General features: G+C 46.5%; 1 protein-coding gene across 10 annotated transcripts in view, besides 3 other annotated features; it reads left to right on the top strand.

Annotated features, from left to right (window-relative positions):
* Nucleotides 4,158-4,358: a silencer, noted in NCBI's record as "fragment chr16:75020112-75020312 (GRCh37/hg19 assembly coordinates)". NCBI's record gives its function as "represses an EF-1alpha promoter that drives an FKBP-Casp9 reporter gene in an ReSE screen in K562 erythroleukemia cells {active_cell/tissue: K562}" and the evidence as "EXISTENCE:reporter gene assay evidence [ECO:0000049][PMID:32094911]".
* Nucleotides 5,004-5,063: an enhancer, noted in NCBI's record as "active region_11112". NCBI's record gives its function as "activates an Ori minimal core promoter by ATAC-STARR-seq in GM12878 lymphoblastoid cells {active_cell/tissue: GM12878}" and the evidence as "EXISTENCE:reporter gene assay evidence [ECO:0000049][PMID:35858748]".
* Nucleotides 5,394-5,703: a silencer, noted in NCBI's record as "silent region_7704". NCBI's record gives its function as "represses an Ori minimal core promoter by ATAC-STARR-seq in GM12878 lymphoblastoid cells {active_cell/tissue: GM12878}" and the evidence as "EXISTENCE:reporter gene assay evidence [ECO:0000049][PMID:35858748]".
* Nucleotides 5,449-23,088, top strand: part of WDR59 (WD repeat domain 59) — a 113,762-nt gene continuing 96,122 nt past the window's right edge. For all 10 annotated transcript variants that reach the window (XR_007064915.1, XM_047434642.1, XM_047434640.1 and 7 more), the window contains exon 1: nucleotides 5,449-5,608. Coding sequence is in view for 6 of the 10 variants with exons in the window: in XM_047434639.1 (XP_047290595.1) it covers nucleotides 5,555-5,608 (54 nt within the window). In the remaining 4 variants the exon portion in view is untranslated. The remainder of the gene's footprint in view (nucleotides 5,609-23,088) is intronic.

The raw sequence follows: 23,088 nt of genomic DNA, 5'->3' as shown, positions 1-23,088 counted from the left end.
CTTCATAACAAGAACCTTGGTCTCTATAGCGTCCCTCATATTAACTGAAACATTTCTTTCTATTGACTTCAAGTCTTTAGACACAGTTGAACTCTTTTAACCAATTGCCAATCAGAAAATCTTAGACTCCACCTAAGACCTGTAACCACCCCCTCCAAGGTATCTTGCTTCTTTAGGCTGAATCAATGTATACCTTCCATGTATTGACTTATGATTTTACCTAAAATTCCTGTCTCCCTAAAATGTACAAAACCAATGTATACCCTGACCGCCTTGGGCACACTTTCTCAGGATCTCTTGAGACTGTCCCCCAGGCCATGGTCACTCATATGGCACGCATATGGGCTCAGAATAAACCTCTTTAAATATTTTACAGAGCAGTAATTTGGGAGGCTAAGGTGAGTGGATCACTTGAGCTCAGTAGTTTGAGACCAGCCTGGGCAACACGGCCAAACCCCATCTCTATAAAAAATACAAAAATTAGCCAGGTGTGGTGGTATGCACCTGTGGTCCCAGCTACTTGAGAGGCTGAGGTGGGAGGATTGCTTAAGCCTGGGAAGTTGAGGCTGCAGTAAACCGAGATGGCACCATTGCCACTGCACTCCAGCCTGAGTCTGGAAATATAGTCTCCAAATACATACAAAAAGTCTCCAAAATACATACAAAAAGTTTGATTTTGATTTTGTTTGATTTTTTTGGTCAACATGGAAAGAACACTTACATGGGGATCTCAGGGGTGAATAGCAATGAAGAAGCAGCCAGAGAGCTCTGGATGTTGCTCCAGAGTCCCCACTCTTTCTCTCTCTCCTTCCTTCCTTCCTTTCTTTCTCTTCCTTCCTTCCTTTCTTCTTTTCTTTCCTTTCTTTTTTTTTTTTTTTTTTTTTTTTTCTGAGACGGAGTCTTGCTCCGTTGCCTGGGCTGGAGTGCAGTGACTTGATCTTGGCTCACTGCAACCTCTGCCTCCCGGGTTCAAGCGATTCTCCTGCCTCAGCCTCCGGAGTAGTTGGGATTACAGGGCACCTGCCCCCACACCTGGCTATTTTTGTATTTTTAGTAGAGATGGGGTTTCTCCATGTTGGCCAGGCTGGTCTCAAACTCCTGACCTCAGGTAATCCGCCCGCCTTGGCCTCCTAAAGTGTTGGGATTACAGGCGTGAGCCACTGCACCTGGCAGAGTCCCCACTACTTCATGACAGTGTCATGACATATGGGTGGGAGACTCCAAAGCAGGATCCGAGGAGGCAATTGGAAAGGTTCTCCTGCTCCCTCTCCCCAAAATTCTGCTGAACCTTTTTCCTACTTAAGAAAAAAAAAACATTGGGAGAACAGAGTGCACCAAGGACTTGAAAGCCAAAGTACTATCTTTGCCTATGAACCATGACAGGCAGATTTTGAGAACTAGATAAATATGAACTAAAGAGGTGGGAGTGGGGGAGGGTTGCAGAAATGCTCAGGCACGATGATCTTAGATCCCACTCATTTTGGTGGGAAGCAAATTAACAAGCTATGTACACAAAGACAGAGAGCTTTAGAAGAGCTATGTCTCTATTTGTATGTATGTCCAAAGTAAAACTCAAACGCCTAAGCAGGGCTTTCTTTTTTTTTTTTTGAGACAGATTCTCACTCTGTTGCCCAGGCTGGAGAGCAGTGACCCTATCTCCGCTCACTGCAAACTCCGTCTCCCGGGTTCAAGCGATTCTCCCGGCCTCAGCCTCCTGAGTAGCTGGGATTACAGGCGCCTGCCACCATGCCTGGCTAATTTTTTAATTTTTTAATTTTATGTATGTATGTATTTATTTTTTTTTGAGACGGAGTTTCTCTGTGTCGCCCAGGCTGGAGTGCAGTGGTGCCATCTCGGCTCACTGCAAGCTCCGCCTCCTGGGTTCACGCCATTCTCCTGCCTCAGCCTCCCTAGTAGCTGGGACTACAGGCGCCCGCCACCACGCCCGGCTAATTTTTTGTATTTTTAGTAGAGACGGGGTTTCACCATGTTAGCCAGGATGGTCTTGATCTCCTGACCTCGTGATCCGCCCTCCTTGGCCTCCCAAAGTGCTGGATTACAGGCGTGAGCCACCGCACCTGGCCTACGGTGGGTTTCTAAAGAAAAAGAAGGGGCAGTTCCTAAAGTCTTTACTAAGAATTTACCTCAAAATAACATAAGCTACTGATTGGCTATACGTTGTTCTTTGTATCACAAATTCGAGAAACATGAAGATAATGGATGAGGTAGCCAGTCAGGAATGAAATGACTTTAATTTTAATTTTTTTTTAGAGACAGGGTTTTGTTCTGTCACCCAGGCTGGAGCACAGTGGCGCGATCATAGCTTTTTGCAGCCTCAACCTCCCAGACTCAAGCAGTCCTCTCACCTCACCTTCCCATGTAGTTGGGACTACAGATGCATGCCACCACGCCTGGCTAATTTTAATTTTTTTTTTTTTAGAGATGGGGTCTTGCCATGTTGTCCAGGCTGGTCTCGAACTCCTGGACTTAAATGATTCTGTCAAATAACAGGTGTGAGCAAACACGTCCAGCCTTTGCTCACACTCTTAATGGTGAAGTGTTTTTTTTTTTTTCATAGTGTACTGTATCAATATCTTAACATTATACTGAAAAGCTCAGATGTCGGGCCGGATGCAGTGGCTCACGCCTGTAATCCCAGCACTTTGGGAGGCCGAGGTGGGCAGATCACGAGGTCAGGAGATCAAGACCATCCTGGCTAACACGGTAAAACCCCATCTCTACTAAAAATACAAAAAATTAGCCGGATGTGGCAGCGTGCGCCTGTAGTCCCAGCTACTTGGGAGCTGAGGCAGGAGAATGGCGTGAACCCGGGAGGCGGATCTTGCAGTGATCCACCCACCACTGCACTCCAGCCTGGGCGACAGAAGGAGACTCCGTCTCAAAACAAAACAAAACAAAACAAAACAAAACAAAACAAAGCTCAGATGTCATATTCTTCAAGATTTCAAGATGCCATTTCGGGTCGCCTATTTAGGCTTTTCTCTCCTGCCATATTGCTTGCAAATCTATTATAATATACAAGTCATTCTGCCAAGCACATTCCTGTTGTAGAGTAACCAGTTGTCCCAGTTTGCCTGGAACTTATGGGTTTCTTGGGATGCAAGACTTTTTGGTGATGCAGTGCTAGAATATGAAAAGGGATCAGGCATGGTGGCTCACACCTATGGTCCCAGCTAATCCAGAGGCTGAGGCCGGAGGATCACTTGCTTGAAGCCACTACTTTGAAACCACCCTGGGCAACACAACGAGACCATCTCTACAAAAAGTAAAAAAAAAAAAAAAAAAAAATAGCTGGGCATAGTAGCACATGCCTGTAGTCCCAGTTACTTGGGAGGCTGAGGCAGGAGGATTGCTTGGGCCCAGGAGTTGGAGGCTGTGGTGAGCTATGCTCACACCACTGCACTCCAGCCTCAGTGACAGAACGAGACCCTTTCTCCAAAAAAATAAAAATAAAACATGAAACGGTCCAGGCAACAAGTTAGTCACCGTAATCTGTCAACAAGTCTGTCTTCCCCCTTATAGCCAATACTCCAGGAGGGAAGAGACCACACTTTCTTACCTCTATTCATACAATGACTTGCACATACAAATAGTGATAATATTAACAACAACAATAACAGTTTATTTTATTTTATTTTTATTGATTTCCTGGCTTCTAGAACTGAATTAATAGTTTATAGTTGAGCTTTTCTACATCCCAGGCCCTGTGCTTAGTTCCTTACAACAATCCAATGAGGTAAGCCATTTTTCCCTTCTATAGGGAAACTGAAGCTAAACCAGTTAAATCAACATTTAAGAGTGTGGGACTGAAAAGGAAACTTAATCACCACCCACCATGTTAGTACAGTGGTTCTCAAACTTTTTGATCTTGGAATCCCTTTACACTGCTGTTAAAAATTACTGAAAATCCCAAAAAAACTTTTTTTTTTTTTTTGACAAGGTCTTGCTCTGTCGCCCAGGCTGGAGTACAGTAATGTGATCCTAGCTTACTGCAGCCTCCTTCTGGGCTCAAGCCATCCGTCCACGTCAGCCTCCCAAAGTGCTGGGATTACAGGCATGAGCCACTGCGTCCGGCCCCCAAAAACTTTTATATGTAGTATACAGAATTTAAAAAATATATTCATTATTTCATTTAAACATTAAGGCCCTTCACATGAATACATTTTAAAATGAAAAAGAACAATATTTTCAAAAAAAAAAAAAAACAACAAAAAATTCTGGCAAATCTGTTTTAATGTTTGGTTTATCAGAAAACAGCGGCCGGGCGCGGTGGCTCACGCCTGTAATCCCAGCACTTTGGGAGGCCGAGACGGGCAGATCACGAGGTCAGAAGATCGAGACCATCCTGGCTAAAACGGTGAAACCCCGTCTCTACTAAAAATACAAAAAAATTAGCCGGGCGTAGTGGCGGGCGCCTGTAGTCCCAGCTACTCCGGAGGCTGAGTCAAGAGAATGGCGTGAAGCCAGGAGGCGGATCTTGCAGTGAGCCGAGATCGCGCCACTGCACTCCAGCCTGGGCGACTGAGCAAGACTCTGTCTCAAAAAAAAAAAAAAAAAAAAAAAAAGAAAAGGAAAGAAAGCAGCTGGATTGCAGGAGGGGGTATAGCTCACAGGTAGAGCATTGGACTACAGATCAAGAAAACAGCTGGATTCTCACATTTAAGTCTACCTTCATTGTTACGGGAGGCGCTGCTGTATTGTATGAAACAATAAATTGCACATTCAGACTTTTAAATATCTCGATGGGATAGGCATCAGGAGAAGAGGTATCTTCGGTTTGCACGAGCTTTGATTTTTCTTTTTTCTTTTTTTTTCCGAGACGGAGTCTCGCTCTTGTCACCCAGGCTGGAGTATAATGGCGTGATCTCGGCTCACTGCAATCTCCGCCTCCCGGGTTCAAGCGATTCTCCTGCCCCAGCCTCCCAAGTAGCTGGGATTACAGGCGCCCGCCACCCGGCTAATTTTTGTATTTTTAGTAGAGACGGGGTTTCACTATGTTGTTTAGGCTGGTCTCGAACTCCTGACTTCGGCCTCCCAAAGCGCTAGGATTACAGGCGTGAGTCACCGCACCCGCCCCGAACGTTGATTTTGATTTGAGACTGGGTCTGGACGAATGCTGGGGACTCCAGCGAGGAGCTAGTCAGGACAACAGGCACCTCACCTCACCCAAACCCAAACCTGCGAGCCCTTCCCAGGTCACCCACGCTTGCTCGAGCTTGGACTACAACTCCCGGCAGAGCTCGCGGCAGGGGGTGTGCCCGCAATCGCGAGGAGCGTGGGTGACTCAAACCAAGTGACGGAAGTGAGCGAGGGCGTGCCTGTTTGTTGCAGGCGCGGTGTAGCAATTGGAGGACCCAGGAAGAAGGGGCGGAGCCTATGCTTGGGTCAACCAATGGCTTGAGCTCAGGAGCAACCAGGGCACGGGGCGTGTCGGGGCTGATTCTCTGGCTGTGTGGGGCGCACGGTCCCGGGATACTGGGGACGGCGGGGTGGGAGGGCGCCGTCCTGGGGCCGCGGCGGCCGGGCGGGGGAGATGGCGGCGCGATGGAGCAGCGAAAACGTGGTTGTAGAGTTCCGTGACTCCCAGGTGAGCTAGAGGCCGAGTGGAGCCCTCTGGGCATGCGTCCTCCCCGCTTCCCCTCCCCCACGCGGCTGCTTCCGTCCCGGGGGGCTACGGGGAGACCCTAGGCCCCGTACTGAGGAGGTGGGCGGGGCTTAGCCGACCTCTTAGGCCCCGTCGGGGGAGGGAAGACGACCATCGGGGGCAATCGGGGCGAGCATGGACGGAGTTTCGGGGCTCCCTACGCGGGTAGGGGAGTGGGGTCCGCCTTGTGACACTGAGGCAGAGACTGCGCATCGTGAGTGCTGAGGGGAGGCTTCCCACAATCAGGGTACGGAGCGAGGGCGTGACGGCTTCCCGAGGCCCTAGCCGCGTGTGGCGACTTAAGGCAAGTCGCGGGACTTTTCTAAGTCTCAGCTGCGTGGACGTAACCCTGTTGGGGTGAATTCGATGAAACACTGTTTGCAAAGTGCCTGTTGCAGCGTCTACGCGGTTAAGTGGTTCTTAATGCCATCATACTGGAAAATACCGTGTAGTGGATAGGAGTGACACTGCACGTGTTGCCCGAGTTCGAATCCCGCAGCCCCTACCCTGTCATCACTCCGTACACGTCAGTTTTCTCACCTGTAGAAGGGAGATGGTCGTACTTACAAGATTGGCTTAAAGATTTTATTTTTTAATTTTCTATTTAATTTAATTTAATTTATTTTTTTTGAGATGGAGAGTCACTCTGTTGCCCAGGCTGGAGTGCAGTGGTGCCATCTTGGCTCACTGCAACCTCCGCCTCCGGGATTCAAGCAATTCTCCTGCCTCAGCCTCCCAAGTAGCTGGGATTACAGGTGCGCACCACCACGCCCGGCTAATTTTTGTATTTTTAGTAGAGACGGGGTTTCACCTTGTTGGTCAGGCTGGTCTTGAACTCCTGACCTCAGGTGATCCACCCACCTCAGCCTCCCAAAGTGCTGGGATTACAGGCGTGGGCCACCGTGCCTGGCCTATTTTACTTCATTTGAGACAGGGTCTGGCTCTGTCACCCAGGCTTGAGTGCAGAGGCGTGAATCACCGCTCAGTTCAGCTTCGACCTCCTGGGCTCAAGCTATCCTCCCACCTCAGCCTCCCCAGTAGCTGAGACTACAGGCGCATGCCAACACGCCCGACTAAATTTTTCATTTTTTTTTGTAGAGACGGGGTCTCCCTATGTTGTCCAGGCTGGTATGGAACTCCTGGGCTCAAGCGAACCCCCTGCCTCAGCGTCCCAAAGTGTTGGGATTACAGGTGTGATTCACTGAGCACAGCCTCGAGTGAAGATTTTATGTGGTTGTATGTTGAGGATGTGTGGCACACACAGCATTGGGATTTGGATGCTGGATCCTACCCCAGAGCCCTTGTTTAGCTCATTGGACTACTTTACTCATAGTGGGTAGCTCTGAACCGGTCATATACATCCCCTCTTCCCCAGCACCTAGGACAGTGTCTTGGTGATTCTCTTCAATTTTAAATTTATTTACCTTTTTTTTTGAGACAGAGTCTCACTCTATGACCCAGACTGTAGTGTAGTGGCATGATCTTGGTTCACTGCAACCTCTGCCTCCCAGGTTCAAACGATTCTTGTGCCTCAGCCTCCCGAGTAGCTGGGATTACAGGCACGTGCCACCATGCCTGGCTAAGTTTTGTATTTTTTGTAGAGACGGGGTTTCGCTCTGTTGGCCAGGCTGGTCTTGAACTCCTGGCCTCAAGTGATCCATCTGCCTTGGCCTCCTAAAGTGCTGGGATTACAGGTGTGAGCCACTACACCTGGCCTATTATTTTTTGTAGAGACAGAGTCTCTTTGTGTTGCCCAGGCTGGTCTTGAACCCCTGGCCTCAGGCGATTCTCCCACTTTGGCCTCCCAAAATATTGGGATTACAGGTGTGAGCGACTGTGCCTGGCCATTCTTTTCATTTATTCAACTAATATTTATCAAATACCTTCTGTGTGCCACACTTTTATTCACTCATTTATTCAACAAGGATTTACTGAGCTCCCTTCAGGTATACACTATACCATGCACAGGTGATTCATACTGAGGGAGATCTGGATAAGTATGAATGGGTGATGTGGTTTCTTCTTTCCAAAACCCCATCCTGTCTTTTGCCGGAGAATGAGTGAGTGGAGGAGCTACCCACCATTTTGCTCTGTGGTGCCCTCTGATCAGTAGCCTCTACTGAGAATTTGAGCAGTAGCATTTGGATTAAGGACCCCCAAGTACTGTCAGCACAGAGTCTCCGTGAGACCTGCTCTCCCTAGGGAGGCGCCAGACTCCTTGGAAAAGGAACCATATTCCTGTTTTCTTTCTTGTTAATTGCTTTTACTGGCAACTAGGACAGAATAGAATCATGTATCATGCCTCTAAGCCTGCTAATTTGGAAGCTACTAATCTGCAAACCCTTTAATTTTCACAGAAACCCAGGTAGTCTCACCCCTGCCTGTTTATAGAGATGTAATTGAAGAGACCTGCAGAGAGGGTGCTGACACATATATTAGGATGCTATGAAGTCGTAGCAAATAATTAAACCTCAACAGCAGTTGTCACAGTAAGAGAACAAAGTAAATTGGGTAATTTTACTGCCTTGTGGGAGTTTCTGTTTTTTTGTTCTGATTTTCCTATTTACAAGGCTTCCTCTTTATGTGAATTAGCATGGTTTTGTGGGTGATTCTGGTGATGATTGGAAGGGGCAGGAACCCATTTTATTAACTATTTTGTTAATGTAGAAAGACAAAGTTAAAACTCTTCATAATGCCTTTATGAATAGGAGCAATAAACTTTTCAAAACACTCCACATCTTTTAAATAATAATTTTATTAAAAAATTTTTAATTAAAATATTTAAATTTCTTTCATTTTGCATTTTTTTTTTAAATAGGGATAGGAGTCTCTGTATCTTGCCCAGGTGGTCTTGAACTCCGAGGTTCAAGTGATTTTCCTGCTGCAGCTTCCCAAAGTGCTGGGATTACAGGCGTGAGCCACCGTGCCTGGCCTAAAAAATATACATATATGGCCAGGCGTGGTGGCTCACGCCTGTAATCCCACCACTTTGGGAGGCCGAGGTAGGCGGATCACCTGAGGTCAGGAGTTTGAGACCAGCCTGGCCAACATGGTGAAACCCTATCTCTACTAAAGATACAAAAATTAGCCGACCATAGTGGCATGCACCTGTAATCCCAGCTACTTGGGAGGCTAAGGCAGGAGAATAGCTTGAACCTGGGAGGCAGAGGTTGCAGTGAGCCAAGATCTCACCACTGTACTCCAGCCTGGGCGACAGAGTGAGACTCCATCTAAAAAAAAAAAAAATATATATATATATATATATATATATATATATATATATATATATATATGTAAATGTATATGTATTGTCTAAAAAAATACAAAAAATATATATGTATATATGTGTAAGACAGGGTCTTGCTCTGTCACCCAGGCTGGAATGCAGTGGTGCAATCTTGGCTCACCTCAGCCTCAACCTTATGGTATCAAGTGATCTTCCCACCTCAGTCTCCTGAGTAGCTGTGAATACAGGTGCACACCACCAAGCCCCACAATTTTGTGTGTGTGTGTTTTTTTTGTTTTTTTTTTGAGACAGAGTCTCTCTCTGTCGCCCAGGCTGGAGTGCAGTGGCATGATCTCTGCTCACTGCAAACTCTGCCTCCCAGGTTCACGGCATTCTCCTGCCTCAACCTCCCAAGTAGCTGGGACTACAGGCGCCCACCACCACGCCTGGCTAATTTTTTGTATATATATATTTTTTTTAGTAGAGACAGGGTTTCACCGTGTTAGCCAGGATGGTCTCGATCTCCTGACCTTGTGATCCGCCCGCCTCAGCCTCCCAAAGTGCTGGGATTACAGGCGTGAGCCACCGCACCCGGCCTTTTTGTGTGTTTTTTTTTGCAGAGATGGGGCTTTACGTTCTTGTTCAGGCTGGTCTTGAACTCCTGAGCTGAAGTGATCCTCCCACCTTGGCCTAAAAATATATATTTTTTTATTTTTGAGATGGAGTCTCGCTCTGTTGCCCAGGCTGGAGTGCAGTGGCGCAATCTCAGCTCGCTGTCACCTCCACCTCCTGGGTTCAAGTGCTTCTCCTGCCTCCTGAGTAGCTGGGATTACAGGCGTGCCCCACCACACCGGGCTAATTTTTGTATTTTAGTAGAGATGGGGTTTCGTCATGTTGGCCAGGCTGGTCTTGAACTCCTTACCTGAAGTGATATGCCTGCCTCAGCCTCCCAAAGCGCTGGATTACAGATGTGAGCCATTGCACCTGGTCTGAAAATAATTTTTTAAAATTAAAACTTTTAGATTTTTTGGCTGGGCGTAGGCTAACGCCTGTAATCCTAGCACTTTAGGAGGCCAAGGCAGGTAGATCACCTGAGGTCAGGAGTTTGAGACCAGCCTGGCCAACATGGTGAAACCCCATCTCTACTAAAAATACAAAAATTAGCCAGGCATGGTGGCGTGTGCCTGTAATTCCACCTACTCGGGAGGCTGAGGCAGGAGAGTCACTTGAACCTGGGAGGCGGAGGTTGCAGCGAGCCAAATCGCACCGTTGCACTACAGCCTGGGCAAGAGCGAAACTCTGTCTCAAAAAAAAAAAAAAAAAAGACTTAGATTTTTCAGAGGAAAACCCCAGTCTGAAGTGTGAAAGTCTTTTTTATAGTTTATAAAAGTGCCATTTATTTTATGAAACAATGCTTTGGGCTATTACTGTCACTAATTAATAATCAAGAGCCTGTGCTGCTTGGCAACTACTGTGAAGTGCTTCCTGGCATCAATGAGTGTTAACACTATAAGAAAACTTAGGCCAGGCATGGTGGCTCACGCGTATAACTCCAGCACTTTGGGAGGCCGAGGCAGGTGGATCACCTGTGTCAGGAGTCGAGACCAGCCTGGCTAACATGGTGAAAGCCCGTTTCTACTAAAAATACTAAAAATACAATAAAAATTAGCTGGGCGTGGTGGTGCATGCCTGTCATCCCAGCTACTCGGGAGGCTGAGGGAGGAGAATTGCTTGAGCCCAGGAGTTGGAGGTTGTGGTGAGCTGAGATCACGCCATTGCACTCCAGCTTGGGTGACAAGGTGAAGCTCTGTCTCAAAGAAAAAAAAAAAAAAAAAAAAAAAAGGCCGGGTGTGGTGACTCACACCTGTAATCCCAGCACTTTGGGAGGCTGAGGCAGGCGGATCTTGAGGTTGGGAGTTCGAGACCAGCCTGGCCAATATGGTGAAACCCCATCTGTACTAAAAATACAAAAATTAGCCGGGTGTGGTGGTGGGTGCCTGTAATCCCAGCTACTCGGGTGGCTGAGGCAGAAGAATCGCTTGAACCCAGGAGGTGGAGGTTGCAGTGAGCCTAGATCGTGCCACTGCACTCCAGCCTGGGTGACAAGAGCGAGACTCCATCTGAAAAAAACAAAAAAAACACACAACTTGCAGGTAATCTTCCAGAGCAACACTGTTTTTTTGTTTGTTTGTTTTGTTTTGTTTTGTTTTGTTTTGAGACAGAGTCTCACTCTGTCGCCCAGGCTGGAGTGCAGTGGCTCGATCTTGGCTCACTGTAAGCTCCGCCTCCCGGGTTCATGCCATTCTCCTGCCTCAGCCTCCCGAGTAGCTGGGACTACAGGCGCCCGCCACCATGCCTGGCTAATTTTTTTGTATTTTTTAGTAGAGATGGGGTTTCACTGTGTTAGCCAGGATTGTCTCAATCTCCTGATCTCGTGATCTGCCCGCCTTGGCCTCCCAAAATGCTGCCACCGCGCCTGGCCCAGAGCATCACTGTTTTGTAGAACTTCCAGTGATGATGGAAATGGGGCTAGTGCGACAGATGTATTTTCAATTTTATGGCATTTTAATTGCCATTTAAATAGCCACTGTGGCTAATGGCTATGATATTGGAAAGTACAGTTCAGAGTACTGAGAAGTGTGGAGATTAGTTTTCACTCTCAAGGAAAGGTAAGATGCTGGAATGTGCAGTTACAAGGCTAACCTAATGATATTTGCAAAAGTGCTGCAGTGGATGACTCCTGTGTTGAAGAGAAGAACTGCAGACCCACGGTGGCTGCCTACTTCGTGTCTCCACTTCAGGATCTGCGAGAAAATCAAGCTCTGTATGTCCAAAGCAGCTGAACATACTTGGAGACAACTCTTCCCTCACAGTAGCATTTCCTTCTTCCATTTTATCTTCCATATAGCCAGAGTGATTAAAAAAAAAAAATCCAGGTTTATGCAGGTATAATTGTAGAGTTTGTTGGGTTTTGACAAATGGATGTAGTCATGTAACCACTGCCGTAATCATGATGTAGAACGTTTCCATCACTCCAAACAGTTCCTTGGTCCCCCTGTGTACTCAATCTCCATCCCTTATCTCTGGCAGCTGCTGATGGGATTTCTATAACAAATGGAATCATGTGATATGATGTGTAGCCTTTTGAGTCTGGCTTTCATTTTTGTTTTGTTTTGTTTTGTTTTTTGAAGGGACAGAATCTTTCTCAGTTGCCCAGGCTGGAGTGCAGTTGCACAGTCCTTGCTGAGTGCAGCCTCCAGCTCCTGGGCTCAAGTGTCCTCCCATCTCAGCCTCCTGAATAACTGAGTCGACAGGCATATGCCACCAGGCCTGGCTCTTTTTTTTTTTTTTTTTTTTTTTGAGACAGAGTCTCACTCTGTCACCAGGCTGGAGTGCAGTCGCACGATCTCGGCTCACCGTAACCTCTGCCTCCTGAGTTCAAGCGATTCTCTGCCTCAGCCTCCTGAGTAGCTGGGATTACAGGAGCCCATCACCACGCCTGGCTAACCATCTTTGCCAGGCTGGTCTTGAACTCCTGACCTCACGATCCACCCACCTTGGCCTCCCAAAGTGCTGGGATTACAGGCGTGAGCCACTGTGCCTGGCCAGTCCTGGGTAATTTTTAAAAATTTTTTGTGGGGGTGGAATCTGGCTGTTGATGCCCAGGCTGGTCTTGAACTCCTGGCCTCACACAGCCCTCCCACCTTGGCCTCCCAAAGTTTTGGGATTACAGGCATGAGCCACCACCCTACCTGGCGTCTTTTGCTTAGCCTAGTGCTTTTGAGATTCATTCTTGTTGTTGAGCCTATCTGTTAGTGCATTCCTTCTTCTTGCTGAGTAGTGTTCCAGTATATAGACTGCAATTTGTGTATTCATTCACCTGTTTATGGACATTTAGTTTTTTTCCAGTTTTTAGTGACTGAAGAAAGCTGCTATAAGTAGATAAGTATCAAGGCCAATTTTTATTTATTGATTTATTTATTTTTCTTTTTTGAGACAGAATCTTGCTCTGTTATCTACGCTGGAGTGCAGTGGCACGATCTCAGCTCACTGCAAGCTCCGCCTCCCGGGTTCACGCCATTCTCCTGCCTTAGCTTCCCGAGTGGCTGGGACTACATGCGCCCGCCACCACACCCTGCTATTTTTTTGTAGTTTTGGTAGAGATGGAGTTTCACCGTGTTAGTCAGGATGGTCTCGATCTCCTGACATCGTGATCTGCCCGCCTCGGCCTCCCAAAGTGCTGGGATTACAGACGCGAGCCACCGCGCCCGGCTGCATTGTCTCTTTCTTATAGATTAAGAAGAGTGTAAAAATTTTTCTGGATTCCAGTTCTGTATGGTTATATATATTGTAAATCCATTCTCCCAAGTTGTAGCTTGCCTTTTCATTCTTTTTATGGTATTAAAAATTTTTTTTTAATTTAAATTAAAATTTTTTTTTTGAGATGCGATCTCGCTGTTACTGTGGCTGGAGTGCCTATTCACAGTCACGATCATGGTGCACTGCCTCCTTGAACTCCTGGTCTCAAATGATCCTCCTGGTTCTGCCTCCCAAGTAACTGTGTCTGTATTTGTGAGTTACCACTCCCAGCTATGTGCTGTCTTTTGATGAACAGAACTTTAATTTTAATGCAGTTAAATTTATGGATTATGCTTTTTCAGTCTTGTTGTTTTTGTTTTCAGACAGGGTCTCGCAATGTCGCCCAGGCTGGAGTGCCGTGATTTTGAATCAGTGCAACCTCTGCCTCCTGGGCTCAAATGATCCTCCTGCCTTGGCCTCTTAAGTAGTTGGAAATGCAGGCACACACCACCAGGCCGGGCTAATGTTTGTATTTTTTATAGAGCCATGTTGGCCAGGCTGGTCTCGAACTCCTGGGCTCAAATGATCCACCTACCATGGCCTCCCAAATTCTTTTTAAGTCTTCTTAAGAAAAATGTTTAGGCCGGGCTTGGTCGCTCACACCTGTAATCCCAGCACTTTGGGAGGCCAAGGTGGGCGGATCACAAGGTCAGAAGATCGAGACCATCCTGGCTAACACAGTGAAACCCTGTCTCTACTAAAAATACAGAAAATTAGCCAGGTGTGGTGGTGGGCACCTGTAGTCCCAGCTACTCAGGAGGCTGAGGCAGGAGAATCGCTCGAACCCAAAAGGTGGAGGTTCAGGGAGCCAAGATTGCGCCCTTGGACTCCAGCCTGGGCGACAGGGTAAGGCTGCGTCTCAAAAGAAAAAAAAAAAAAAAGAAAAGAAAAAGAAAAACGTTCGTATCCTAGATTCATAAAGAAATTCCTCAATATTTTCTTTTATCTTGAAATTGAAAATGAATCATCTCAGCAGAAAGTATACTCTCTTCTGACCTAATAATGGTTGGTGATTTATTAGTCTCAGCATTGCAACAGCTTTGCCACAAAGATAAAGATTGAGGACTGTGTTTTACTCTAATAAAAACTAAAATAAAAAAGCACAACTCAAATTATTTGGCTAGGAGCAAAATTATAAGTAATTAATAATCTGTGTGTTTTTCTGGAGCAATCCAGCTTCGGTTCCTACTTTTTTAGTTTCATACAATGTTCATTTTGAAAAACTATAGAGATGGAGGGGCAGAATAGGACTTTTTGGTGTAAGTGACTATTAATATGTATACTGTGAAATATTTTTTCTTTTTTAAATAAATTTATATATGTGTATTTTAACATCGAGATGGGGGTCTCACTGTGTTGCCCAGGCTGGTGTCAAACTCCTGAGTTTAAGTGATCCTCCCACCTTAGCCTCCCAAAGTGCTGTGATCACAGGCATGAGCCACTGCACCTGGCCTATTTTTTTTTTCTAGAAAATTTAATATAAAGATGTGGTGATGAATGGGAGAAGAACAAAGACGTTAAGGATTTCGTGCCAGACTGTGTTAAGATTTAGGTTATGCCACCTGTCTTCCATGTGATCTTGGGCAAGTTACTTCCTTTCTAAGCTTCAGTTTTCTTTTTTAAATTTTTTTTTCTTTTTTTTACTTTTTTTTTTTTTGAGACGGAGTTTCACTCTTGTTGCCCAGACTGGAGTGCAGTGGCATGATCTCGGCTCAGTGCATCCTCCACCTCCCAGGTTCAAGCAATTCTCCTGCCTCAGCCTCCCAAGTAGCTGGGATTACAGGCGCCTGCCATCATGTCCGGCTAATTTTTTGTATTTTTAGTAGAGACGGGGTTTTACCATGTTGGCCAGGCTAGTCTCAAACTCCTGACCTTAGGTGATCCACCCGTCTTGGCCTCCCAAAGTGCTGGAATTACAGGCATAAGCCACTGTGCCCAGCCTTGTTTTTTTTTGTTGTTTTTTGAGACAGAGTATTGCTGTCTCCCAGGCTGGAGTGCAGTGGCGCGATATAGGCTCACTGCATTCTCCAACTCCTGGGTTCAAGCGATTCTCCTGTCTCAGCCTCCCGAGTAGCTGGAATTACAGGTGTGTGCTGCCATGCCTGGCTAATTTTTGTATTTTTAGTAGAGACGAGGTATCGCCATGTTGGCCAGGCTGGTCTTGAACTCCTGACCTCAGGTGATCCACCGACCTTGGCATCCCAAGGTGCTGGGATTACAGGTGTGAGCCTCTGCGCCCGACTGACTTCCTTCATTCATAAAACAAGGATAGTAGTGCCTACTTGTGTTGGGGGTTCCCCAGGCCATGCCAGGCTCAGTGACTTATAAGGAGGCTTCACAGTCATATTTGCAGTCATTACATATTACAGCAAAAGGACACAATGCAGAATCAAAGGGAAAAGGCAAATGGCATGAGGTCAGAAGGAAACCAGGCCGAAGCTTCCCAGAGTCCCCTCACTGTAGACGCACACAGTATATGCTTAATTCCTTTCGTGTGTAACTGGAACAATGTGTGAGAGACATTGTGTACCAAGGAAGTTCATTAGGGACTCAGTACCCACAATTTCTATTTAGGGCTGGTCATGTAGGCACCGTCTGCCTTAACAGGTACCAAAATTCCAGACCTTCAGAAGGAAAGTAGGCACTCAGCGTAAACTACGTCGTTTGTACATACAGTTGAGGCACAGGGAGGCTCTCTTACTAGTTAAGGAGCAGTGGAACCCTCCTAAAATCCACGTTCTAGATAGCAGCCAAGAGCCACCCTTGCAAGCAGGCCTCGCAAGGATAGTAGTAGCCTCATGCCCGCTGTGCCAACTCTTTTCTGCATACTACCTTGTAGACTAGCTGTGAGGATTAAATGACAATATCAGTTTGGAACACCTAGCGTAGTGGTCGGTATATGTTAAGCAGTTGATAAATGTTGATTACCATTATTATTAAATTAGAAAACTGGCCTAAGGAAGCAACACACTTGGCCTGACAAAATAGCCCTCTCCTCTGCCCTGTCATTTTGCAGGTGAGGAGTGTGAGCCCCAGAAAGATTAGGTGACGTACCTAGTAGTACCCAGTGTGGGCCATTTTAGTGTGTGGGAAAGTGAGACTGTTTCCATTTAATTAAATTTAATTAATCAATTGATTTTTTTCTTTGTTTTTGAGATGGAGTCTTGCTTTTCGCCCATGTTGGAGTGCAGTGGCATAATCTCAGCTCACTGCAAACTCTGCCTCCTGGGTTGAAGCAATTCTCCTGCCTCAGCCTCCTGAGTAGCTGGGATTACAGGTGCCTGCCACCATGCCCAGCTAATTTTTGTATTTTTAGTAGAGACGAGGTTTCACCATGTTGGCCAGGCTGGTCTCGAACTCTTGACCTCAGGTGATCCACCTGCTTCAGCCTCCCAAAGTGCTAGGATTACAGGTGTGGGCCACTGCGCCTGGCCAATTTTTGTGTTTTAGTAGAGACAGGGTATCACCATGTTGGCCAGGCTGGTCTTGAACTCTTGACCTCAGGCGATCTGCCTGCCTTGGCCTCCCAAAGTACTGGGATTACAGGTATGAGCCACTGCGCCTGGCCGAATTAATTAATTTTTAATTTTACAATCCACCATGACATTCAAAGAATGTTCTCATTTAAAAGAGAAGACTTCCTGAGCAACACCCCTATTGCTGAGCGTGTGAACAAGAGTCTCCGATAGGTAACGTGTAGTGAGTATTAGACAAGGATGGCTCAGAAACTGTTGGGCCAAGCATGGTGGCTCACGCCTTGTAATCTTAGCACTTTGAGAGGCCAGGGCCGGTGCATCACTTGAGCCCAGGGGTTCGAGACCAGCCGGGGCAACAGAGTGAGACCCCATCCCTACAGAAAATGAAAAACTTAGCTGAGCATGGTGGCTTGTGCCTGTGGTACCATTTACTCAGGAGGCTGAGGCAGGAGAATTGCTTGAGCCCAGGAGTTTGAGGCTGCAACGCCACTGTGCTCCAGCTGGGGTGATGGAGAGAGACCGGCCCCCCCGCCAACCCCAATCTAAAAAGCAAAACAACAAACCAGCTTTGGCAGCAGTGTTCATGTATAATTTTATGGTTTTTGAGACAGAGTTTTGCTCTTGTTGCTCAGGCTGGAGTGCAATGGCGCAATCTTGGCTCACTGCAACCTCTACCTCCCGGGTTCAAGCGATTCTCCTGCCTTAGTCTTCTGAGTAGCTGGGATTACAAGCATGCGCCACAACACCTGGCTAATTTTTTGTGTTTTTAGTAGAGATGGGGTTTCTCCTTGTTGGTCAGGCTGGTCTCAAACTCCCGACCTCAGACCTCAGGTGATCTGCCCGCCTCGGCCTCCCAAAGTGCTGGGATTACAGGCGTGAGCGACCGTGCCTGGCCAATATCTAATTTGAATAGAAATTGGATCTTGTCCTCTGAAATGGTCGGACCCTTTTAATAATCAGTGGTTTTCAGTTTGTGGCTTTAGTCTGTAAAACCTCTTTTTTTTTTTTTTTTTTTTTTTTTTTTAAGACAGAGTCCTGCTCTGTCACCCAGGCTGGAATGCAGTGGCTCCATCTCGGCTCACTGCAATCTCCATCTCCCAGGTTTCAAGTGAATCTTGTGCCTCAGCCTCCTGAGTAGCTGGGATTACAGGTGTGCGCCACCACGCCTGGCTAATTTTTGTATTTTTAGTAGCCATGTTGGCCAGGCTGGTCTCAAACTCCTAACCTGAAATGATCCACCCACCTTGGCCTCCCATCGTGCTGAGATTACAGGTGTGAGCCACCGTGCCTGGCCTAGACATGAGTTTTAATCTAATTCTGACTGCAAAGCCGATGCATACCGTTTCTGCTGCACCAGGCTACCTCCATTTTATGCCTGGAGAAAGGGCAGAGTTTTTCCTCCCTTTGATAAATTGTGGTCTGTTGCTTTGGATTGCTGAAACCAAGTGCTTCAGAACACTGTTGCCTTTGGAAGTTGACTCACCAAGAAATTTTTTAAACGAGGACAGCAGCAATTTGTAGTCTAATAGAGTCTCATGGAATTGATTTCCTTCATTAGCCATCAGTTAGCTTGACGTTTCCAAATTATTATATTTACTCCAAGAGAATCAGAATCAAATATCACCATCAATTCTCATTTCATAAAGGGCATGTAAATCCTAAAGTGTTAAGTGTGCCAAAAGTCACCATCCTTCTTTGCAGTTGAAGGAACAAAGACTTCTAAGAACTTCATTCTCTTCTGTTTAAAGATACCTGTTTTGATAGAGAGCAGTCCTGGACAATAAGTTTGTTTTCCTACAATTGAGGAGGACTTTTCAGTATGGAAAAGCAAGAGTTTGGCTGGGCATGGTGGCACATGCCCATAACCCTAGCCCCTTGGGAGGCTGAGGCAGGAAGATTGCTTGAACCCAGGAGTTCAACACCAGACTGGGCTACATAGCGACCCCCCATCTCTACACAAAATTTTAAAATTAGCCGGGTGTGGTGGTGTGCATCTGTAGTCCCAGTTACTTGGGAGCCTGAGGCAGGTTAATCACTTGAGCCCAGAAGTTTGGGGTTACAGTGAGTACCACTGCACTCCAGCCTTGGCGACAGAGTGAGACACTTTCTTAGAGGCTGGGTGCTGTGGCTCACACCTGTAATCCCTGCACTTTGGGAGGCCCAGGCAGGTGGATCACTTAAGGTCAGTAGTTCGAGACCAGCCTGGCCGACATGGTGAAACCCCATCTCTATTAAAAATACAAAAAACAGCCAGGCACGGTGACAGGTACTTGTAATCCCAGCTACTCAGGAGGCTGAGGCGGGAGAATTGCTTGAACTCAGGAGGCAGAGGTTGCAGTGAGCCGAGATTGCGCCACTGCACTCCAGCCTGGGTGACAGAGCAAGACTCCATCTCAAAAAAAAAAAAAAAAAAAAAAAAGGAAGGAAAGAAGGAAGGAAAACTGATGAAAATTTTACAGTATAAAGTGTATGGGTAAGGTACACAAATCTTTTTTTTCTCTTTTTTTTGGGACCACTGTCAGAAACAAAATTTTGTTCATCACATTATTCTAATAGAACGTCTCACACAGCATGCAGTGAGCTATTGAAGTTTATTGTCCTAGGAGGTATTAACGAAACGAATGAACTTTAAAAGTTTAGATAAACTCGTGGGTGATAAATTATTAAGGGGAATTATCAAGAGAAACCACCAAAAATATTCTCAGAGATGTCGAGGAACACCTTGGCACATTGTGAGCTGGAAGGACCTTGATTTTGACTTGGTTCTGACCTACCATCTTTTTTTTGGCTTTTTTTTTAGACAGGGTCTTGCTTTGTCGTTTAGCCAGGAGTGTAGTGGTGTGAACATTGCTCATTGTAGCCACAACCTCTCGGGCTCAAGTTATCCTCCCCTCAGCCCCCCAAGTAGCTGGGAGTACAAGTGCATACACCATTCCTGGCTAATTTTTTTTTTTTTTAAAAGGTGTGGTTTAATCATGTTGTCCAGGCTGGTCTCGAACTCCTGGGCTCCAAGCAATCCTCCTGCGTTGGCTTCCCAAAGTCCTGGGATTATAGGTGTGCACCACCATGCCCAGCTGCAACCATCTTTCATACTACAGAGTTTTACAGAGCACCTCTGTGTACAAAGCAACTTGCTGGGTGCTCTGGGAGAAATGAAATAGACCATGCTCAGCAGGGGCTCATCAGCTAGTGGGAGAAGAAAGATGTGTATAGCAATAACTAAACACAGCAAGCTGTGGCAAGTTCTGTGATGCAGGGGCAGAGAAAGTGCTTTCGGAAAAGGTGGAACCTGCTTAGAGAGGTCCTTGGGAGAGCTGCTTTTTTTTTTTTTTTTTTTTTTTTTTTTTTTTGGAGACAGAGTCTCTCTCTGTCACCCAGGCTGGAGTGCAGTGGCGCATCTTGGCTCACTGCAAGCTCCGCCTCCTGGGTTCATGCCATTCTGGGAGAGCTTCTTAGGGGAGGTATGTCTTGGGACTTAGAAGATAAGTAGAATTAAGTGAAATGACAAATGACAAGGTATCACATTGCCTGCCTTTAAATTATACTACAAGGCTGTGGTAACTCAAACAGCATGGTACTGCTAGAAAACTAGACATATAGACCAATGGAACAGAATAGAGAACACAAAAATAAAGCTACATACCTACAACCAACTGATCTTTGACAAAGTTGACAAAAATTAACAATAGGGAAAGGAGTTCTAGACTAGCCTAGGCAGCATGGTGAAACACTATCTCTACCAAAAATACAAAAAATTAGCTGGGTGTGGTGGCATGCGCCTGTGGTCCCAGGTATTTGGGAGGCTGAGGTGACAGGATCACTTGAACCCAGGAGACGGAGGTTGCAGTGAGCTGAGATTGAGCCACTGCACTCCAGTCTGGGCAAAAAATTGAGACCCTGTCTCAAGAAAACCCCCCAAAATCCCACAAAAATTAGCAGGCTGAGGTGGGAGGATCATTTGAATCTAGGAGTTTGAGGCTGCAGTGAGCTGAGATCATGCCACTGTACTCCAACCTGTGTGACAATTTGGGAGGCTGAGGTGGCGATCACCTTAGGTCAGGAGTTCAAGACCAGCCTGGGAAACATGGTGAAACCCTAAAAATACAAAAATGAGCCGGGCGTGGTGGCACATGCCTGTAATCTCAGTACTTGGGAGGCTGAGGCAGGAGAATCACTTTAACGCGGGAGGCAGAGGTGGCAGTGAGCTAAAGCCATTGCACTCCAGCCTGGGCAACGAGAGTGAAACTCCATCTCAAAAATAAAAACAAAAAAACAGGCCGGGTGCAGTGGCTCACACCTGTAGTCCCAGTACTTTGGGAGGCTGAGGTGGGTGGATCACAGGGTCAGGAGATTGAGACCATCCTGGCTAACACGGTGAAACCCCGTCTCTACTAAAAATAAAAAAATTAGCCGAGCGTAGTGGCATGCACCTGTAATCCCACCTACTCAGGAGGCTGAGGCCTGAGAATCACTTGAACCTGGGAGGTGGAGGTTGCAGTGAGCCAAGATCGTGCCATTGCACTCCAGCCTGGGTGACAGAGTGAGACTCCGTCTCAAAAGACAAAACAAATATGTATAATATATATATATTTATAAGTAGCCAGTTTAAATTTTAGTCTGTAAGTGGATATAAAATGCCACTTTACACCTCTAACCTGTCTTTAATCCCCAGCAGGCACCTTTCTTCAGACTGCTGGGAAATCCTATCTCAGTCATTGCAGGGCTTCCCCTCCTCACTTGCAGTGTGGTCATACAAAAATTCCACAGTCCCGTGGTTCTTAACCCACGTCTAGAATTCCCCACCTGGTGTGCTGAGGGTGGAGAGGGCTTGGATTGCAGACTCCTTTCCCCCACAAAGCACTGACTTTCTCTGGTTAGGTCGTTTTCACTTCCTCTGCTCAGTGTTCCCTTTCTCCATTCCTTCTTTGGGACAGCTTAGTGTAAGCTTCCTCAGTGTGCTCCTGCAAACATGGTGGTAACCTGTTTTTTCTAGGGTAGTGGTGGGAAAAATCACGTAGGTGGTGTTGTGGTGGTAGTTTTTCTTTTTTTTAAATAACTTCCTCTGATATGGGTGAGTTATGATAGTCTATTTGCCGTTTTTGTTTTGTTTTGTTTTGTTTTGAGACAGAGTCTTGCTCTGTCGCCCAGGCTGGAGTGCAGTGGCAAGATCTCAGCTTACTGCATGCAGCCTCCACTTCCTGGGTTCAAGCGATCCTCCTACCTCAGCCTCCTGAGCAGCTGGGACTGCAGATGCATGCCACCACGCCTGGCTGATTTTTGTATATTTAGTAGAAATGGGGTTTCGCCATGTTGGCCAGGCTGGTCTTGAACTCCTTACCTCAGGTGATCCGCCTGCCTCGGCCTCCCAAAGTGCTGGGATTACAGGTGTGAGCTACTGCACCCGGTCCATATTTAGCATCTTACAACAACATCCATTTATTAGCTCACAGTTCTGTAGGTCAGAAGTCGAGGCACTCTCAGCTCCTACATGCTGTCTCAGGTCCTTGCCATGTCCTTCTGTCTTTGCAGCCAGCAATGCGAATCTTCATGTTGAATCTCTCACCCTTTTAATCTCTGACTTCCTGTCTCTGACATCTAGACATAGATTTAAAGGACTGATGAGACTAAATCTCTCAGTCTCCCCGTCCTCTAAATTTTCATCATCCCAAATAGGAGCTCTGTACCCATTAAACAGTAACTCCGCATTCTCTACTTCCCCAGACCCTGGCAACCTCCATTCTACTTTTTGTTTCTATGAGTTCATCTGCTTTAGGTGGAGTCATATAATGTTTGTCCTTTTGCATCTGGGATACTCTACTTAGCATGTTTCCGAGCTCCATCCATGTTGTAGCATGTATCAGAATTTCCTTCCCTTTTAAGGCTGAATAATATTCCATTATATGTCTGTACCACATTTTGTTTATCTGTTCCTCCATTGGTGGACATTTGGGTTGTTTGAGGTCTTCTATCTTTTTTTTTTTTTTTTTTGAGACCGAGTCTCGCTTTATTGCCCAAGCTGGAGTGCAGTGGCATGTCTCGGCTCACTGCAACCTCTGCTTCCCGGGGTCAAGTGATTCTCCTGCCTCAGCCTCCTGAGTAGCTGGGATTACAGGTGCCTGCCACCATGCCCGGCTAATTTTTGTATTTTTAGTAGAGATGAGGTTTCACCATGTTGGCCAGGCTGGTCTCGAACTTCTGACCTCAGGTGATCCATCCGTCTTGGCCTCCCAAATTGCCAGGATTACAGGCATGAGCCGCCGCGCCCAGCCGAGTTCTATCTTAAGGTCAATTGATTGGGACCTTAATTACATCCATAAAATCCCTTCCCAATAGTAGCTAGATTTGTGTTCAGTGAATGTTGA

The sequence above is a fragment of the Homo sapiens genome, chromosome 16 (genome assembly GCF_000001405.40).
Source record: "Homo sapiens chromosome 16, GRCh38.p14 Primary Assembly".
In the NCBI taxonomy this organism is placed as follows: Eukaryota; Metazoa; Chordata; class Mammalia; order Primates; family Hominidae; genus Homo; species Homo sapiens.
This window is presented reverse-complemented; position numbering and strand designations above follow the sequence as displayed.